This window comes from Homo sapiens, chromosome 8 (genome assembly GCF_000001405.40).
Source record: "Homo sapiens chromosome 8, GRCh38.p14 Primary Assembly".
Taxonomy (NCBI): domain Eukaryota; kingdom Metazoa; phylum Chordata; class Mammalia; order Primates; family Hominidae; genus Homo; species Homo sapiens.
The window spans coordinates 92,052,607-92,074,258 of record NC_000008.11 but is presented as its reverse complement, the minus strand read 5'-3'; the positions used below and the strand labels follow the sequence as shown (position 1 = coordinate 92,074,258).

The 21,652-nt window shown below is 37.0% G+C and overlaps 1 protein-coding gene across 23 annotated transcripts in view, besides 2 other annotated features; it reads left to right on the top strand.

Annotated features, from left to right (window-relative positions):
- The window catches only part of RUNX1T1 (RUNX1 partner transcriptional co-repressor 1), a 148,419-nt gene that overhangs the window by 29,127 nt on the left and 97,640 nt on the right, over positions 1 to 21,652 (top strand). For 2 of the 23 annotated variants that reach the window (NM_001198632.2, XM_047422375.1), the window contains one exon: positions 11,550 to 11,713. The exons of 19 other annotated variants lie outside the window; for them this stretch is intronic. In NM_001198632.2, coding sequence (NP_001185561.1) covers positions 11,707 to 11,713 — 7 coding nt within the window. In that variant the 5' untranslated portion in view covers positions 11,550 to 11,706. Of the gene's footprint in view, positions 1 to 11,549; positions 11,714 to 21,652 lie in introns of those variants that run through there. 2 more of the 23 variants (NM_001198625.2, NM_004349.4) reach the window with 2 other exon arrangements.
- Positions 2,057 to 2,556: an enhancer, noted in NCBI's record as "H3K4me1 hESC enhancer chr8:93083931-93084430 (GRCh37/hg19 assembly coordinates)". NCBI's record gives its function as "activates a minimal SCP1, AML or CMV promoter by ChIP-STARR-seq in primed H9 embryonic stem cells {active_cell/tissue: H9 hESC(primed)}" and the evidence as "EXISTENCE:reporter gene assay evidence [ECO:0000049][PMID:30033119]".
- Positions 13,092 to 15,790: an enhancer, noted in NCBI's record as "VISTA enhancer hs1599". NCBI's record gives its function as "enhancer in: forebrain[5/7] | limb[3/7] | branchial arch[5/7] | facial mesenchyme[5/7]" and the evidence as "EXISTENCE:transgenic organism evidence [ECO:0001131][PMID:17130149]".

Sequence of the window (21,652 nt, the reverse complement as noted above, 5' to 3'; positions counted from 1 at the left end):
ATGACAAGAACACATATCTTAATATAATTTGGAATGCATTTATTTGTTATTCATGTACGGAACCCCCAGCATCATGTATCAGAAACACAATGTGCAATTTCTTCTTTTTTTCTTCTCTGTCTCTCCTACTCTCCTGTATGTGTGGTGTGTGTACATACTTTAAACATGATGTCTGTATACACATATACATATTTGTATTGACCTATTTTGTAACTGTTGGGTTTTCTTTGTTTTCCATGTGGCATTAAAAATTTACTTCTAGGCCAGGCATGGTGGCTCATACCTATAATCCCAGCACTTTGAGGGGCTGAGGCAGGAGGATTGCTTGAACTCAGGAGTTCTAGACCAGTCTGGGCAACAAAGTGAGACCCCATCTCTACAAAAAAATTAAAAATTCAGGCGAGTGTGATGGCACATGCCTGTAGTCCCAGCTACTTGGGAGGCTAAAGTGGGAGGATTGCTCGAGCCCAGGAATTCGTGGCTGCAGTGAGCGATGATTGCACCGTTTTACTCCTGCCTGGGCAACAGCAAGGCCCTGTTTTTAAATAAATGAAAAAATATACTAACAATAATAATTACTCCTAATTTTTTTTTCCTCTTTGTAATAATATTAGGTGTATAGAAATATGGGGTTCAAACTCAAGAAGTTGGGAAAACAGAAATCACATACTTTACATTTTAGAACACCTGGAATCCATTGGGCTCTTAGAGTTTTGGAGTTGTAATTTAGAAGCAGATAAAGCAAAGGACTATCCATGGCTGAACAGTCGGCATTGTGAGTGAGAATGGCCTGAGGTGGCGCCAGAGAGTCTGGTCTGCGTAGCAAGTTTGAAGCAGGCTGGGGTCTCCTGGAGATGGGCCTCTGTTAGGGCAGAGGCTGGGGGGCAGGAGGGTGGGAAATGATACTAAAGGGGTATGCCACCAGCTTGGGTGGAAGCTGGTAAAATGAGAACGCTGTTGTGTTTCCCACCTGGTGTTTTAAAGCATACCCAAGGTACACACAGTGCTTGGTCCTCTAGAATGCCATTTGGAGCCGTTCTCCTGTAATGCCTGCCATTGTAGGGACCAGACAGATTTGGGACACCTAGGAGTGGTAGTCTGGCCTGAGGAGCTTGCTATCATAAGCCATTGAGGACAATTCTAAGAAGGGTGTAGTATTTGACATATTAAAAAGATCCATATGTTTTCTAAAAGATGTAAGAGGAAGCAGCTTGGGAGGAAAGAATGACAGGAAACTTTTTTTGCAAAGAGTGCCTGTTTATGTTCATGCATATCATGGAATGGGATATATAGGTAGTATCAATTTTTACATATTGTGTGGGTTTCAAAAGCCACATTTGTATTTTGAAAAAGAGGTATTTTTAAAATGCTGATATAGATGATGCTGTGCACCTTTATATATTGGTATCTTTGTTAGGAAGAGGAAAGTTATTTTATTAAGTAAAATTGCTGCTTTTAGAGAGTATCTGCTCTTATTTTTAGTTTTTCTTGGTCATGTTTGAGGGGTCTGATAGCATTAATGGGCTTTACCCCACATGGAGCTTTGAGCTTATTGTAGCACTGCACACTGATCCCAGGTCAGTGTGATGCGTGAAATCAATTTATTTGAATCTCTTTGCCTCTATAGGAATTTGGCAGCATGCCAGTTGTTTTCATTTAATGTTCTTTGTGTTGAACACAGACAAGCAGGCATGCTTTTGTATTCTTCTCTCTTTTGGTCTCTGTCTCTTTCAGCCAATATTTTACTGTATGGATTTTGAGATGAAAGAAGAGTATATCATTTATATGATTCTAATCATTGTTTAATTATATATATGTATATAAATATACCACTTTCTTATCTTTTAAAGGATATGTTTGATATTCCTGAGTTTGGTGACTTTGCACACACAAAATATTTTAGAGTTTTGTTTAAATAAAATTTTTGGTGAAACATAATAAACCAGATCATAGATGGTATTTGCTTACATTAATTACCACTATCAAAATTTAAAATAACAATGTTAATTATGTAACACAACAAATGTTTAATTTGTAAACTGGACTATCAAAATCATTTATTTCTTGGTGAGCCTTCTTTGAATTTGAAGATTTACACTTTAATCAAGCATGTTAAAAATTATAATTATTTGAGTACAATTTTCTTTGATCCATCTTGATTAAGATACCAGCGTTTTACACAGATTTGCTGTATATGAATTTTTATGAAGTTTCTGCCATTAAGGTACTTTTTTGTTTTTTAAAATTTGGAGGGTAATGACTGGGAATAGCATAGAGATTTTTATGACAAATAAAATCAGACCTTTCTCTGGATGTTTTTATAGGCAGGACTTGTTTCTGGGTCAGCTTTAGGAAGAGGTGGAGAAGGAAATGAGAGAGAGTGAGAGGAGAATGTTCTGTTGATGCTCCGGGCAGTTCTTGCGGAAGTTGATATGCAGAACCATGGAGCCGCAGCTTCGGGGTCAGGCTCATACCCAGCAGCCCTGCTTCCTTGTTTAATTACCTGAAGAGCAAAACAGTCAGGCTGGGAGTGTGTGAAAACCCAGTATCTCTCACAGCCGCCTGGCGCTCTGACATCCTGCAAGGCCAGCCCTGTCTGTCCGCCAGCGTCAGGCTGGCTCAAACCCTGGGTTCCTTTCTTTCGGGAGGCATTGTGTGGAAGAGGGTTTGGTCAGGAATTTGAGGTTCCTGCCAATGCTGTGTCCCCTGCTCTCCCCTTGTGGACCACACTGACAGACATGCTTGATTAAAAAAAAAAAAGATCTAAGAATTTGGCTCTATTTTACACTTCTGGCCTTGCTATGAAACAATCTGTTTCAGCAGCAACAGACGTTAACCAGTAGAGGGCTGGCCTTAGTTTGTTGGGTTCTTATTTTCTGAGTTCCCATTATATAGTGTCCTATGTGTGTTGCTCTTTTCCAGTCAGACTCATTAGTAGTCTGGTGTGGAGCTAGTAGCTCAGAGATTGCTTTTATGAGGCGGTTTTGGAATCTTCATCTGCCCATGAAAATAGAATAGTCCACTTTTAAAAAAAGGTGATAGAACTTTTGCACTTGAATGTTTTTTCCTTTTCTTGGAATTGGAATATGGTCTTTGACATTTGCTGTGGGAAGGGCCATACTCTTTGACGAAGCTGGAGGTGGTGAGAAATAATATTTGCACAGTAATGTGTGGCCAATTTGAGGGTAACATGGGATAAATATTCTGAGAAGTGCTTGGAGATGGAGCCATTTGGGAGATCCCATGAATATAAGAGGATTTTATCTTACCAAGAGGAAATCTGTCCACACAGTGGGCTGATGAAATGTCTTTGCTGTGGGTTGGGAAACAAAGGTGGTGGTGGTGGTGTTTCCTGCAAAGGCAGGGGAAAGTGTGACTACATGTGCAGTGATTTGGTTTTTCCAACTACTTCATTAGGATTCTGTCATGCAGACTGAAGGGCATTTACCCTTTAGATGCACATATGTGCCTCCCATTAATGTTAATAGGAGTTATGGGCATGTAAAGAGAGCAGTATATACCTTTGCCTAGTGCATAAGCACAGCTCCAAGGAATTGATTCTGTCCTTTGCAAAGAATAGAGATTGGGCTTTGCAGGGAAGATTTTGGTGGGAATTATTTTAAAAACTTGTTTTGCATATCACATGGAAGTAATGTCAATATTTTATATATTTGTTTACCACTCCAGTAAAACATATATAATAATTTAAATAATTGCATTAGCCTGGTGCGCCTTGTGATGGAGCTGGCATCATCGTGATCTATTATGCACAGCGTAAGTAGCTCTGCCATAAGTGTTATGTGTATCCTCAGGCATGTGCGTGTTTATTTATGTATCAGCCTGCTGCATTTCTTTTAGAGTATTTCTCTTTTCAACATCAGTATAAATATGAAAAAAGAAAACATATAAATATATTTTAAGCCACAGCCAATATTCCTAACTAGTGTTCTCCTCCACCAACAAACTCTTGGCAGGTTTCTTTCAAGCTCCAACTTTTTTGTAGTTCTGTCCACGTGGAGTCTTCTTAAATGCAGGTAACAATAGTAACATTAGGACCATGTGTAGCTTTAAGCTTTGGCAGCAGAGAGTGTATAATGTGAGAAAAATGTGGAAGACTGAAAACTGAATGGGGAGAATTGTGGTTTGCAGGTGGTGTCAGAAATGAAAGAATTTGGGTTTGGAGACTTGCACTGAGGGTGCTCAGTAAGTGTGGACTGAAATGCAAGAAAAACAATCTGTGAGAGAAGAGAATCGGAGGCAGTGAATTACTCTGGAAAGTGAAGGGAAAACATATAACTAATTGTGGACTTGTGTCAATTTATCAATAGGAATGAAAAAAGGACATTTAGGTATAATGGGTAAAAAAGGTACAATAATCCATAATTTTAATAAGATTATGGTATATGCAGTTAAGGAGAATTTTAATAAATGAAAGTAAGAGTAAAAATTTCCATATAGAGTAAGGGAATTGCATTGAGATTTATAGGCTTTAACCATTCTTGAGTGTATTTCAACATATACAGCATTAAATTCTCTTTTGCCTGGTAAAACCCTGTAGGGTCACTGTAAAACATTAATTTAAAAATTTACATTGATATAAAAGCAAATATACTATGCTGGGTATTATTTGAACAAATAGAGCAGTTTTGGAGTGAACATTTGTAATAGAATTCATTGTAACTAAAATTCATTTTTGAGTAACTTTGAATTGTTTATAAACGTGGCAGATTAGTATGTGTGCATAGATTTTGATAATTTGCAATGTGGAGAGATATAAGTGGAGAATTTATTAGAGATGAAAGTCCTGTGAAAGAAAATATGATGAAAAAAATTCTGGGATTTTTTTTTTTATTGCTGTGTATTTGCTCCACCTGGTGGATTTTGTTGAAAGTGTTTTAATCCTTGTTAATGAAAAGAACACTCTTTAGACAATTTCTCTGAACTATAGGGAAATCTTTTGTTTTATTTTTGTTGCTGTGTAAAATAGTTTAATTCCTATCTAGGTCAAAACATTTATGTGTCATTTGTTCAGTTCTTTCAATGCATTGAAAGTAACTTTTTTTTTTTTCAAAATATAATACATGCTCATTTTAGAAGATTTGGGAAATACAGAAAAATAAAAAAATAGGGAATAAATATTGTATATAATTTCACCACCCACAATTGCATTATTTTTAAGAATAGACATTATCAGAAGAGAACCAGTTTGCATTTGAATTTATTTAAAGATATCTGGAATGTTAAATATTATGCCAAAGTATGATGATGATGATTATTACTATAATTATTTTTGGACAAATACTATCCTTAGAATTCCCAGGCTCCAAAATAATGAATATAATCAAGTTCATCAAGAATTGCTTTTATTAAGCTGCATGTCTACAGAAGGCAAAGGTAGTGAGATTAAAGGTATCTCATGTATTCATAGGGTTGTTCATAGCGGTGGTAAGATCTGTTGTTTGCTGGGCTCACACAGATTGCTTTCTCTGAAAATCTTAAGGATTCAGTTGTGCTTTGATCATCTTATTGTTTTCCTTAGGTTATTCTTTTTTTCTCCTGCAGTCTCTCACAGCTCTGTAACAGAAGGTGAAGTTTTGAAAACAGTGTCTCCATATGCAAGGGATTTGGAGACCTTTTTATTGTCTTTAAAATTGTCATTCATAGTCCTCATTAGCATTTATTGTTGCAAGCGTACAAGCAGAAAATGTGAAATTGGTATGTCATGAATAGCCCCACAGAGCTCTCGAGCCCTCCGATTTTGCCTGCAGTGTGGTGTGGGCTGGGCTTTGAGGGAAAGCTGTCCAGATGGCTGCCTGCACAGAGCAGAGCTGCAGGTTTTTGTCTCTGTTGCTGAGAGGAGGGAAAGTTCATTGGAGCATATGCCATCACCCTTGCGTTTTAACAAAACTAACTCGCCATTAGTCAAGATGAGGAGGTGGTGACATTGAAACAAAGGTTTTCTATATAGTGTTACAGTCCTTGTCAAATGAATAAGAGATGGGTAGTTAGGATGTCTTCCATGTTACCTGAGTGATTTTTGTAGCTGTACAAAATATGAGAAAACTGTAAATGGTAACTTATTTGCAGATTTACATTGCAAATGTATAGTTTTTAGGAATTGTTTTATGGGAAATGCTTTTACTTGAAAAAAAACAGCAGTTAACATAGCTAGTGTTCAGCTTGTGGATTAATAAGGAAGTGTTTTACTTAAAAAATTTTAACATAATTTAACCCCTTGCTAGTGCCTATGTAGGAATCTACCTTTAACTGTATTATTATAGTATGTTTAAAATTTGTGTTTAAATAGCATAAAATTTAATCAGTGCAAGTGTTAAAAGCTGTTATAGCATTTCAAAAAATTTTAAAATATTAGACGTTGAAAATAAGTTGGTGGAAATGAACTACAATATATTGTCATATTTTAAAGGCATTGGCACTATCAGAAACAATTTGTAATAATTACAGATATAGATTTTGTTTACTTTCAGTGTGATATTTTGTCTTAAACAGACTTCATTTTTGTACACATACACATAAATGCACACACAACTTAAATATACTAATACACATCTTTTTATTCATGTATAAGAGGACATTGTACTTCAACCAGAGTTAAAAGTCAAATATATTGCTTGAAAAACTGTCAGAATGATATCACTAATATTTTATTCTGTAGACATTGAAGATGGAAAAAAGAATATCATAGAGACTATTTGGTTTATCAGTTTAGGAAGTCATTATTTAAAATATTTTAACATTGGAATCTTCAAAGTACAGTCGTAGAGTCCATTATTAACTTACTTTAACTGATGGAGATGCAAAAATCAAAGTGACCTGAGACCATGAGTTTTACATAAGTCATAGGTGAAGGCTAGGGGTTGTGACTTCTAGCTCTCAGCCTGCCACTTGCCCTGGTAGATGAGGATTTCTAAACAGACCTACAGCATGTCCTCCATGGGCCACTGTGTTCTATAGTGCTTTGTCTGACTAGTTGCATGTGATTGAGGCAGTAAAGCTTTTCCGCGTCTGTAATGTCTGTATAATCACCTATTAAGATAGGTTTCCTCTATCCAGCATGTTTTCTTTTACTTGACTCCATCTCATTGCTAGCACTTAGGCTCTCTTGGACAGCCCTAAATAAACCTTTAACCTCATGATGTTTATACACCCTTCAAATTCTTAAGATGGCAATAATGTCTCCTGTTCTTTTGTCATCTAAGCAAAGTTCTTGTGAGTTCTGCGGGCTGGCTGAAAGTTGAGGAGGTGCAAATGCTTGCCAATCATTTCCCCCAAAGGAAATATTTGAGGGAATAGCGTAAATGTGTTTAGTTGTTTACAACAGACATTTATGTAAGGGAGCTAAAATGACAGATAACCTCTTAACCTTGATGGAATACTTCAATGAACTTTTTCACTTAGTTTTTTCTTTCCCCCTCTATCCCACTTATTTCTTGTGGTTAGCTGTATCTTACATTGTAGCCTAACTAAAACATAAACCATTTGTGTTTTTTTGCAGACAAAGTATAATTGGATTTATCTTTGTCAGGGGACAATCTATTATGGCTTTTATTTAATACAGTTTCAGATGGCTTTCAGTGGCAGAAACAAATTAATGTACATTTTTATTAGGTGTTGTATCTATTTAATTGACTGTCAAAGTGATGAGAAGTTAGGAAATCATCCAAAAGAGAGGTCCATCTCCCTTAGCCCAACAACTCACACATTAGGTAGGTTTGCCTTATCAGTGGGATGCCTTTAGAAAACACTAATAGCTTCCAGCTGGGTGGAAAATCAAAACCTTTGGGGTCTGACAAAACTAGCAGATTTGAATTTGAAAGCAGAGCTAATGCCTCCATTTTATTTTTTACCACTCGCCCATAAAACATTATTTTCCAATATGTCAGCCTCATTTGGTGGCCAGTGGTCTGAAATTGAAAGTGGGACAAGCAAGCGGAGAAATCTGGACATGAGTGAGTCTGCCCTTTCAAGCTGGTGTGCCACTTTGTGGAAGGGTCTCCTCTAAGAGCAGGGGGGTCTTAATGACCATTCATCAATGCTCGTTGGGTGATCATTGAGTGCCTTCTCATTCAGTTTATCAAGTCTTGCACATAAAAAGTCAGAATAAGCCTTATTCAGCTTTGTTAAAGCCAACTAGGAGTAAAATGCTCCATTTGAACCCATTTTGCCCTTGTTTTTTCACTTTGTTAATGCAGCCCTGCTTAAATGAGTGCCTTTATTGGGTCGGTTAGAATATCTGAAACTATTAATTCTCTTGTATTGAATAGTTGGTGGCAGGCCAGAGCAGATGGGGTAGGAAAGTATTTGGTTGGGTGTATTGCTTTCAATTAGGATCAATGAGGTTTCAGCTCCTTTGAATTAACTCACTTAATACCCACTGTGTGAAGTCACAGTGTATCACAACAGCCTGCTAGAAGCCGAGAGGAAAGTTGAGAAGACCTGTGGAAAGGCTTTAACTCAAATTCTCCCTTCACCAATGTAGAGAGCTTTCCTGAACTGCAGCCCATGTCAGTAGACTGCTGGTCCCTGTTGCTAAGTCAGGTTTGAACAGAGGAAAAATTTGTATTTCATGAAAGGTTTGTGGTGGACATAAGTGAAAAATACCTTGGAATCATACAATACCATAATGCCTTTCTAATGAATGATCTAAAGTTGTCAGAAAACAACTTATGTATTTGCTTTTGTGGGAGCCCAGCATTTTGTTGTTGACTAAACTTACTGGTTTGGAAAGTGTTGATTTAGATGACTCTCTCTAAAAAATTGCCTTAAAAATGGACTGTGTTCTTAATTCAGTGACATACATTAACCGATGAGGTTCTCCTGAGGAAGTACTTAATTGGTGAGTAATGTATTCTTTGTTATTGGGATATATTTTAGTTTTATAAAATATGTTTCCTTATGACAGTGTTTTGTACTGGAGAAAACTTTTGCAATATGTATTGTTTTTCTCCATTCACTTGCATAAATGCATTCATCATGTTATTGATTGTCTATTTTTATTATACAATTTGGATGTTAGAGATCTTGGCTCCATATCCTCCTTTTATTTATTTATTTATTTATTTTTATGAACGAAAAGTTATTCTGTCTGAGTAACTGTGTAGAACTACATATCCAGGTTTCCCTATTCAGGGAGAACTGCCAAATGGGGTTCTGCTTTTCTTGCCTCCATGGATTAAAGAATAAGAGGAGGAAACTGGTTTCTTGAGAAAATGCTGAACTAGTCTCAGATGCACACACATTCAGCTAGGCCCCGCTGCAGTCAGACTTCTAGGTGAGAATCTCCAGGGATCCAGGTTTTGTTGATGTGGATCAATTTAAAGTGGCAATTACTGTAGTCAGATAACAGCTTAAAAAGCCTTTTTACACATAGAAAAGATACATAATCACACAGCATATGGAAGTTCAATTGTCTGAGCTGCGGTTTAGGGACTTGCAGTGTACCGATATTAAGACCCCATTTTAAAGCCGGATATCATCCAGTTTTCTCAAAAGTGTATTGCATTTTGTCATATGATTTTCTATTTTAGAAGTGATTCACCATGCATATTGATGAAAGGTTGGGTTTCCCACTGTGAAAATGTTTTCTTTCTAACATAAGTATAGTACTAAAAAAAAAATCAGTGGCATGTAGCATTAAGTGGCTTTTCAAAAATACTCTCTTTAAAAATGAAAGTCTACTAATTTAGGATGCTGGATTCCATAAAGGCCCTTATAGCAGGACTTAATTGATTATCACACTCATGCCTGCTATAAAGCTTTCTATCATAAGAATGTTTGAGCTTGGTGCTTAACTGTACTGAAATCCATTACAGAGAACCTCATTACAAGTGACATCTAACTAAGATGAACAAAAAGATTGGCCTCATAAATAGGGTGCAGTATACTATTAGTGACAGAACAGAGTAATCGTTATGAATTGTGGTCTTTTTACAAGTTGTCTCTGACAATGATGGATTTTTGAGGGGTTCGCTGGATAAAGCAGCCCTTCTTGGGTACAGTATTTAGGGGCTGTAGAAGTTCTTATTGATTGACACTGTTTATCAAGAGAATATATTTTTAGTTTGTGCGGAGAGTGTGTGTGGGTATGCTTTGAAACAGGTTGTGTGCACTCTTGGGAAGAGGTGTAGGAAGATTGAGTAGGTAGAAGTCAGAGTTATTGCCTCTGTTTTCAGAAATTTTTGGAGATAGCAAGTAGTGTGGAAATCCATCTGACAAGGGCTAAAAGCATATGGAAAGTGTAGAGTAAGTAAAGGACATGTTGAGGACTGAAGGAATAGCAAGAGTTAACGGGAATGCTCCTGTCTATCATGTTCATTGAGCTTGCAGGCTGATCAGAGGACCCTGAGTGGAATTGTTTCTGTGTTGATAGTGGATTGTGCATACGATGGAAAGGTAAAGCCTGAGGCAGCTACCTCATCATGTGCCCTGTTGTTGAAACAAACACAGACCTAGGAAAGATTTGCAAGTGTAAAACTGAGAAAGAGTTTTAGGAGAGAACAGTATTTTCCTTCTGCCTGGCATTGTTGTGTGTTTAGAAGAGGCATGCAAGGCAGGCAGGCGTGTGTTTCTCCTATGAGGCAGGGATGTTTTACAAAGGACTAAAGAGGGACTGCTGAGAAGAAAATAGCCAGCTTTAGATAAAGCACTATAACAAAGGCTTCTAGTTTTATATATCATGGTGTCCATTAAAGCTTAATAGGGAAGAGTCCATTGAACCTGGCTGGGTATGTGTTATTCATGGGAAGGATAAACATTTAGGGGTGTGCAAAGAAATCAGGAATCAGGAGGACATGATTGTTCAGCTTTTGAAAAGGCTTTACAATGAAGATTTTGTTTTTATCTCCCATGGATCTCTATGCAAGGTAGAGGAAAGTAAGCTGAAAATGTTTGGAGCATATCAACCCGGGGATCCCAGGGGGTTAAAAGCACTCGAGTAAAATAAAAGTGGTCGGCTCAGCTTCTAAAAAGTGTTCTATTTTACACATACTACTGAGAAGCTGACAAAAGGAATGATTCTGATACTTTGTGCAGGATGATAAACTGGCACAATATACAAAGTCTTATAAAAATGTTTGTAGGCTGTTTGGGATTTCCAGTTGAATAAACAGGCTTTGAGTTCTGTACCTTTTTTTTTTTAATACAGTTCCCAATTATGGCTATGAAAATGAGAAGATGAAGGGAAGCCTTTTATTGTGAGGGGTGGTAGGGGGCCAGGTCTACATTTCTATCTTTTGGCAAAATAAGGGTTAACCTTGAACAGGATGGGGGTGGTGGTGAATAAATTATTCGGCATTTAGCTTATCATTCTGAATTTCACTTTTTGCTTTTTGGTGCTCTGAAACTTGCAGAGAGAGGTGGAGTGCTAAGGGGAGGGTAGGGGTTGTGATACTTTGCACACACATCCCTGTCATTGTTCTGCCTAAAGAGACAGGGCTGGGTTCAAGGCCACATGTGCTCCTGTCATCCTCCACATTTCTGCTCCAAGTGCAATCCGGAGTGTCAGCTCTCCATCTGTCTCTGCCTGGCAGGCGCACGCGCCCAGCACCCTGCCTCCGGCGATGCCGCCCCAGCCCCTCTGATGGCCCTCCTCTCTGCTGCCACTCATTCCAGAACAGGAGGCATGAGCCCGGAACGCGCTTGCTTTTAGGAGACAGCCACTTTCTGTGTGGTACGCTGGATTCAAGGATGCCTGGTGAGTTAGCCCTGTTCTGTGTTCTCTCTGTTTTTCCAATGAAGAAAGCTTACTTTCTATTATGCATGGAAAATACCTTCTGCCCCACAGCGTGTTGTATCTGATGTGGGCAGGAAGAGGCTGGGGGTGACAGAGGTGTGATTGGAAGGTAGCATAAAGAGAACCACAAAGATCTTGATACATGGAGGGGTACAGGGTGTGGAGCCCTTGCTTTTAAAATTTGGGAGATGTATTTTAAAGGTTGAGGGGGTCGTACAGCCACGGATGTTTGTCGGAGTAATTTACTTGAGGGTTTTAGCTCAAGTAAGAAGTATTGTTTCTGTTCAGAATTTTGTGACTATCATCTGTACTTGGTGTCCTGGAAATTTCATCTGTGGAGAGAGTTTTCAGATTATGGCAGAATCCTGGAATAAGATCTCTTTAAAAAGCTGTTTATGTCAGAGAAAGTGAAGGAAGCTTTGGAACTACAAGGAATTTCAGTCTTGTCCTAAATCACAGCCCTTAGATGTCATCAGACAAATAATTGAAATCAGTTAATTAAAATAAAAAGCCTGCTGAATTAGTGAAGCTCTTGTCCTGGAAATTTAGTGCATGTCAGTTTCCTCTGAAAAATATTATTTTTGGAGCCTGGAGTGTTTCTGTGATCGTTGCCAGTGAAGGCTCTGCTTGTGGAGAAGGCTGGCCGGGGAAAGGGTTGTTTCGGCTGTTCTCAAGAACTGTCTAAATTGCCCTGTGCCTAATTTGGAGCTTCCTATCTTCAGATAAAAAAGACAGGGCAGATAGAGATCCTCCAGCTGGCCGATTTATGTGGATTATTTGGGTAGGACAGGCAGAAGAGGCTGTGCTTGGTCACAGAGTTTGTACACCTCACAGATGGTGTTTTGAAACATTATCTGCCAGTTTTCTGCAACCACAGTTGTGTGTAGGTATTGCCAGTTGTTTGAAGAATGTTTTTCCCTTTAGGATGTGTCTCGTCCATCCTAATCATTATTGATATATATGCAGAAAGGATGCATTTGTGGCAGAATTGCACTTTTTCATTAGTAGACTAGGAATGTATGTAGCTGAATTATGGGGAAAATCAATTTACAAAAAGACAATGACTGAGGTCTTTGAAAGGTCATTTTAACTCTTTAAGCTTTCATCTTGATTTATATGCACCATGCAACTAAAGATGTAATGTGCCCTGGGTATATAATACAGAATCAGTGTGAAAGTGCCTGTGTTTTTTATTTCACCAGAATATTGAGCACATTTATCTGATTTTTATGTCATAATTCAGATCTTTTTTATGCTGTTAATAAACGTGTTAAATGATCTGATTTATCAGCATTTTGAAGAGTCTATATGTTAATTTTGTAAAACAAAACCCCATAATAAACCAAAGCCATTTGTGAATTATAATAGGTGAACGAGATTAGTTAGGACCCTTGCTACTTCTAGCTAATTGCATCATTTTAAACTAAGCTTCAAAGCACCCTTATTTAAAAAGCATTGAACTATATTTAGGGATTTAGAGTCATTGATAAGTTTGTTTTAGTGTTGTTGTTAATACATCTGGTTCTACAGCAATAGCCTGAAGTGTGGGCACTGCTTCTCTCTCTCTCTCTCTCTCTCTCTCTCATCAACTGTGTTAGAAAACCTTGTACTTGGATACATAGAATATATTAACAGCTGTGACTATGAGCATGTGCCAGAATGGCGATACTTGAGCAGATTTGACACTTGGCTATTTTTGACACCCATCTGTAGTTTTTAAATTCTACTATTGGATGGACTACCTCTAAATATGTTTTTAGCTTATTTTAGTCCATATATATAGGTTCATTTTAATGGATGATTTTAGCCATCTTGGGCAGGTTTTATATTTTTAAGTAAGACATTATGTGTAGAAGATTAAAAGGTTGTGTTCTATGCACTCTGATATCATCTACTGCTTAAATGACTATATATCAACATACACACACACACACACACACACACACACACACATATATATATATATATATATATATATATATATTTGGTAGTTGAAGTATCAGAACTAATTCCTGGTTGTCTCAGACATGATGTAACAATTGCCATATCTAGGGCCTTTTTTTATAAAATTGAGGATCCCTGGAAACAGATGTGCACAAACTGATCTTATTCAGACATCCCAATCTTTGGGGGTGGGTAAGTAAAAAAGTCTTAGTTTAAGGGGTTCTAGAACTATTTTGGTTTTAAAAAACATGTTTTTAAAGATGTTGCTAGCATATTGTTTCAAAATGAACTATATAAGTCAAAAGAGGCTAAGGATGCTTTAAAGAAATAGATTATTTCAAAATTGTTTAACTCATTATAAAGAAATATCATTTTACTACCTGTCACTTTTGTAACAACTAGATCCTTGTGTTTAAGAAAAGGAAAATGTTTTCTTATGAGAAGGCTGGGAGACCTTGGGCATTATATTGTTTCAGGAGGCAGTGACTCCAAGCTTTCTGAAACACTTATATTTTTATGAATCTTTGTATAATATTATCAAAGAACATATGTTGACCTACAAAATGCTTTCAGGACTATTTCCTTAAAAGGACAATAAGTGAGCACAGTCCCTGTAGCCCAGAAATAGTGCTTTTTCTTTTAGAAGATGGCTAGTATTAGGTCAGACCACCCTTTCTCAATGGTCCTGCTCTCCAGATGTGCCTGGAACTTTTTTTTAAGTTCAAGTTTCCAAAAGAGAGAAAAAAAAGGTTTGTTTTCAAAATCTGGTTTTACTTAAGACATCTCCATCCTGGAGTGCATTTCATAAATTGCCCACATATTTTCCTTAGCAGAGAACTTAACTGGCTGTAATTTTTAACACATGGCCACATCATGTGATATTTTCAAAACACTTACACATAGCTTTAAGAAGGTCCCTGCAGAAATGATCCATCCTCTCACAGCCGGCCCATTTTTTAACAGCATATCTGCATTTTCCATTTAGTAGAGCTATATATTATTAGCTTACATTTTTGGGTAGTAAAACAGTGCATTGCTGATTGTAAAACATGGACTTTATTATTTGCTGAAAATTGATTTGGCATTTATAGCCACTGTGTACTAGACTATTTTTCTGTTTTTAACATCAATGCTTGCAAGCGATGATTTGTGTAAAAAAACAGAAATGAAATTGCCATGGACAGACAACTGTTAGTATCCCTAGTAACTGAACATTTGGATAATGCACTTGGATTTTTTTTTAATAGATGCATCTAAATGCTATTATGCAAGAATAAAAACACTCACAGCAGTCCATTCACTGACACTCTATTTTACTTTGCAAGTTGGTTTGCCATTATATTAGGCTCTTTGCTGTATCAAACAACCCTTGTGCCAACTATAGAAGAAAACTATGTAAGTTGTAAATACCCAATTATAAATGTAGATTATGCAGCATTACTTTTTTGTAGCAGAAATGTAGACAGTCCAGCTTCCCTTCAAACCCTGAAACCCTCTCCCTTCTCTTTACATTCTTTTCTGTTAATATTTCAGAGTACTTGGCCTTTTAGTTCTGTGTATGTAAAATGATATTTGGAAACTTTCACAGGCCATCTTCCTGTGCAGTTAATGGTCTATTGAAAATGATAATTGTTTAATCTTTTTCTTGAAGGGGGTGATGGTTATGACATCTTAAGCTTTCATAAGACAACTACTTGTTTATTTTTATTTCTTAAAGTAAACATTTGCTTAGTAGACATTATATAGCCTAGAAATGTTTATTAACTATCTTATCACTACATTGTTAATGGATGTTTGCAAAGAAGATGCTGTAATTATAATTTTCTGAAAAGCCTTCTGAGCCATCAGGGGAACAGATATATATATTTTAGAGCTTGAAGGTTTATCTTGCGAGCACCTTCAGTTTACAGATGTTGAAACTGAGGCTCCTAGAGATTAAGGGACTTGTTCAGGTAGTTTATGAAAGTAAGAAGATCTTTTGAGGACATTTTCTTAACTGTGCTGTTTGTAAATCTCAAATGTACATTAAATCATGTTAGCATATTAGTGTCAGTCTTACTTTGTTGTCTTTTATCTTCAGTCCTGGATCGCTCTCATCGTATGCTTTCTCCCCTCCCACTCTAGGATTGCAGAGCTACCTGGGAGAAAATTCTGTGACAATAATCACTTGGCCTATGGCAAAAGTGTGCCTATTAAATTTATTTTATAATTGTTTGGGAATTAGGGAACCTATATATAGTTAATTAAGAGAGTATTAAGCAGAACCAAAAATGTAAGGCTACGACAACAGAAAGTTACTGTAATGAGGAAAGTTGGGTAGTAGACATTTGTAGGTTGCTCAAAATGTGCCAGATACCAGATAACCATGATTCAGTCCCTCCATGCCCTCCAAAAGTTTGGAGTTCTAGTGTTCCCAGCAGAGAAGTAAACAGGGCCTGAACATAGTAGATCATGCAGGAGCCCAGAGGGGTAGATACCCACCTGGATTAGGAGTCAGGGACATAGGGGAAGGATGCACAATGGGCTACACGAACGCCTATTGGAATGCCTTGCCTGGCTCCTTCTACTTGCTGCAGATTGGATCTCAGTTCATGTAACTTAGCATTTTTTGGTTTGTTCTTCTTATACTAAGGATAGGGCATTCATTTTGGTTTTTATTAGATTTTAATTTCTGTGTGTGGCAGTGGGTGTAGTATTTCTTGAAAGCTATTTCTTTGTGTACAGTTGCAGTTCTTTGATAGCTAACCATATCTAGAGGAATAAATCATTAACTTAAATGACTCATAACTTGAGAACAATAGGATTTCACACCTGACCAAGAAACAGGTTTATCGTGCTGGCTTTCTCAAACAGCTGTTTGCATTAATTAATATTAATGTAAATGTACTTTCTGAGAAGGTCTAGCTTAATTATATTTTTCAACCCATAGAGTTCCAATCAAAGGAATCAGAAAATCCTCTTAATCTCAAAGGGAATATATAACTGCTGTCTCTGAACGGAATAAATCTCTGATAGTATACTAAGAGCAGCCTTTTATTGAAAGCCTATATATGCCAGGCTGTGGGCTAGGCACTGTGTATACTTTCTGATTTTCACTACAGCTTTGCAAATTGTTTCTGTTACCATGTGATCTATTTGAAGCCTGAAGATCAGATAAATTAAGCAGTTTGCCCAAGGACATAGGTAAAGTTAAATGGTAGAGATGGGATTCCCTGGACTTTGAATTCTCTTTTTGTTTCCTTATTTTATTTTTGAGAGGGGTTGGGTATGTTGTGGCTTGATGGCAGGATCTTTTGTAATGAAGGCTAGATGGAACATTTAAAGGGGAATGTTTGAATCTGAATTATAGTAGCATAGAAGGTAGAGTTCTTTTTGCTGAAAAATAAAAACAGAAAAAGCATTAGCCTTCATCATCAAGAATGATCTTGGATAAAACAGGTTAGCATGCTGGTTATTTCTCTGTGTATTACTATTCCTCTTGAAAGAGAACAATGGAATTAATAGGCATCAGGAGACTTAATGTTATTATTTTGAAAAGCCTAATAGAAATCATAGGGCACATTAAGATACAGGAACAAAAAAGAAATCATAAATTTACTCCCTGACAGAGCTATACAGGTTAACTGAAATATCACCTTTCTTGGCTTTTGGAATGTGGTCATCCTGGCTATCTTTTGTTAATCGGAAGGTCAGATGGATGGTTTTCTGTGTTTTGGATTAGTAGAAAATTAGAAAGCAAATAATATATTCAACACCTTGGCAGACAAAATTGTTAAAAATTGTGTAGCTAAAAAAAAGCACGTTTTTTGGTGGTGAGACTGGTGGGTATCCATGGCTCTGCCCCCAGGAGCTCCTAGACAAGCAGGCACAGTGTTTCCAGTAGATGAGTACATTCTTAAGAAAGCAGATATCTTTTTTTGCCATCCCCCACCTCCTGCAAAGAAAAAAAAAAAAGCAGTTGATTTTTAAAATTGTGGGATGCTTTCTCTAGAAGGCTTGATTTTGTTTTCCACATTTCGCTTTTAAAGGCTAAGTGATAAGTGTAGTCTGGCTCACTTTATTAGAGGGATTCTTTTAATTTTATGTGGTTTATTAACATTATACAGAGTACTTGACACTCATGGAAGAAAATAATTTTAAAAGTACCTATGAGAACATGATACTGGGAAGAGTTTCACTTTAAGAGCTATATAATCAGCTAGGTGAAATGCTTTTTAGGAAGAAGGGATGTAGGAGGGTGTCTTTATCATGTGTTTATGACTTTAACAAGAGTCTTAAAGAGTTTGACAAAGTAAACTGAGCATTTTTCACAATCTGGGATGATTTTGATGGGGGTGCTAACTTTAAAAAAGACAATTGCTGTGCTTTTGAGAGTCTCGTTATTTTACGTTTGAACTTTCCCTCATTTAACTTCACCACCTTCCTCAGGACTTGTTTGCTTTAATGATTCTCAGGTTATTAGGAGGAAAATACATAGTAAAATTTGAGGGTCCTGAGGTAACAATTTATATACTCCTGCATTTGAAATTTAAATATGTCCTAATGAGGATAAGACTGGAAGGAAGAAAGGCTGTGATCCTGACATTTTCCCTGTGAAATGGACATTGTTTCTTAGTTGTTATGGTTGTATCTGAACCTATATACTTAGCAGTTACAGTAACACTTCATTTGAAAGGCCTGTTAACATTTATTTTCTTTCTTTTTGCTTTAGCATTATATTTGTATAGCCTACAGACAAAATACGTAGAGGAAATCAAAACAAATATTTTTGTCTATAGAAAACACTTGTTAAACTTTCTATTCAATATTTATTTTCTTCTAACTTCCTAGAATATTCCAAATACATAGTTGATTTAGAAAATATAGAAAATGATAGAAGTCAGAGGCAAAACCCAACTTTTTAGTTATCCAGGCATTCTTTATATACCAGTGTTTGCTTGCTAAACATAAAGTGGAAGCCAGGCGTGGTGGCACGTGCTTGTAGTCCTAGCCGCTCTGGAGGCTGAGGCAAGAGGATCGCTTGCATCCAGAAGTTCAAGTTTGCAGTGAGCTATGATCGCCCCATGACACTCCAGCCTGAGCAACACAGTGAAACCCTGTCTCAAAAAAAAATTAATAAATTAATACAAACGCGAAGTGCCTCCCAAAGTTGGTAAGCCTAGGCATGACTAGGTTTTCAAAATGTTTTCTATTTTGTACAATTTAGGAATCTTTCTAAAGAACATCTTTAAAAGGAAGAGTTACCTGTTGTTGACATTGTTTAACTACTTACTACATAGAGGAGTGTGTTTCCATTTGGTTTTTTATCTTTATCTATATTTTGATCATATTTTCTGAGTGTAAAACATTTGGTACCATGTCATTGTGAAGTTAATAAACTTTTTCCCAAAACATCTTGGAGAATTGAATCATTTTGTAGTGTTTCTCAAGAGCAAGATTATCTCTTTAAGCCATAGTTACTTTCATTCACTGTTTAAAATTGTTGTACTTACTAATCACAAGCTGATCAGTTTGTGCTGAGTGTATTTTTTTATTTTTTTAATTTATTTATTTATTTTGAGACGGAGTCTCACTCTGTCGCCCAGGCTGGAGTGCAGTGGCGCAATCTTGGCTCACTGCAACCTCCATCTCCCGGGTTCAAGCAGTTCCCCTGCTTCAGCCTCCCTAGTAGCTGGGGCTAAAGGTAAGCGCCACCACGCCCGGCTAATTTTTGTTGTTGTTGTTGTATTTTAGTAGAGAGGGGGTTTCACCATGTTGGCCAGGATGGTCTCAGTCTCCTGATCTCGTGATCCGCCCGCCTCCCAAAGTGCTGGGATTATAGGCATGAGCCGCCGCGCCTGGCCCTGTGCTGAATGTATTTTATCTTTAGCTTTGTGACTTGGGTTTATATTATGAGCAATTAATATATTATATTTTATGAGGCCATCTATCAAAAACACAGAGCATCGAGAATGTCAATGCCTGATTGTGAATCAGTGCTCTTCCATTTACAGTCTGCCAGAGTTTCACTCTCTTTGTCTTAAAAGTAGAAACAGTTATTCTGCCTTGCTAACTTTCACAGGATGGCAATAGTGATTGTAGATATGCTGTGTACCTGTATAAAGAGGTTATTAAACCTCTTTATAGACAGCGATGCTGTCTGGAGTTAAAAAATAGGAGACAGTGTTTAACCCCCCACAAAACAGTGCCAAGTGTTATGCTTGATGCACATTGTCTAGGTTAGATGAAATTTTCTGAGTTTTGCCTATGCTTGATAGGATTTTCTGCCTCATCTTTATGTCAGCGGTTTACCCCTTCTCTATCAGTGTGCCACCCTTTTACACATCCCAGTTATTTGCAAATGTGGAAACCAGATAACCAAACTTAGAATGGTGATCACATAATAAAACACATGCTTAAGTGAGAGCCTGAAAAGCCTGTCTTTTTTTTTTTTTTTTCCAGGTACTAATAAGTGGCACTTTTAATTTGTGGCATCAATTTACATCACTGAGTCTGTCCCCCACTTCTTCCCCACCCCACCCCTACTGATTTTCATGTTTCTTTGTAGGTGGTTTTGCTGGAGAGCTGAATTCTGTATAACCTTTTACTCCACTTCTGTGTTATCCCAAGATACAGCTTCTTTTCTTCACTGTTTAAAATAGACATTTTAAACATCATCAACTCCCCTTGATAAAGCTGCCATTTATGTTCAGATCTTGATTTTCTAGTTCTAATAATTCCATTCCAGGCTACCTGTGAGCCTGGCATAGAGTATGCAATCAGCAAATATTTGCTTAATGAATAAGTGAGTGGATGAGAGGTAGACTGGGACTCACAGAGATTTCAAAAGAAAGAAATAATACACAAAGCATGTTAATTAACAAGGGGAAAAATTAAGAAATGAATCTTATAAAAATTTTCAGTAAGTGGTCTTTACGAATGAGAATTTTCTTTCAGAGTTAAGGAAAATACATATATTTTGTGGCCCACAACTTTATTGGTGGCTAGCTGCATGTTAAAATTCAATGTAATTTATCCTGATTATACTTACTGAAAGTATAATGCAACATACAACACTTAAAACTTTCTGGCATAATTACTAAAATTAGAAACAAAGGGCTTTTGACAGTGTGTGTGATATTTTGGAAATGGACTCTCCCTCCACCTGGGCATTTTCATGTAGTTTGGCCATTTTTCATTCTTGTCACCTAGTGGAGGATGGGTATAATGTTTCAGTCTCCCATCAGGCATACTGGGTAAGATTTTAGCAAAGAGAAGTATTAATGAAATATTTTTATCTTTTACATGATAAATTTAGCCAATAGTTTCTTATATCAATAATCCTAGGTAAGTAACAATTTGATAGACAGGTAAAATTTATCTTAAAGACTCTAGAGCGATTGCTAGAATAATTCATTCTATATATAATATATATTTTCTTTAAAAATTTGAATGATTTTAATTGCTGCTCTCTTTGAATGTTTCTGCCCTTTTATCATTTTTTCAACATTTGCATTGGATCATTTGAAAGGAATAGGGTAAGACTTTTGAGTTTCAGTATCTCTTAAAAGAATAATCTTTGCTAATTCGGCAGATACTTTGTAAGCATTTCTCTTAATTCATGCATTATAAAAATTCTTGGAAGGTCAGTTTAGCTCATCTGTTGAGTTTCCTAATACAAGAATGTTGCTGATTTTCTAAACAGATTAAAGACTCTCACAGGGTCAGTCAAGCACTTTGGAAGCATGGTACAGGATGGTGTAGCCACGTTCTCAACATGGGGTCAAGGGGACCAACAGTGTCTGCCTCACCAGAGAATTTGTTGGAAATACAAATTCTCTGCCCCCTCCCAAGCCTACTGAGTCAGAAACTCTGTGGGTAGACCCAGTAACGTGTGTTTGAACAAGCCCTCAGAGGATTCTTAAGCATATTCAAGTGGAGAACCACTTTTGTAAATTATATTTTTTGTGTCCTTTT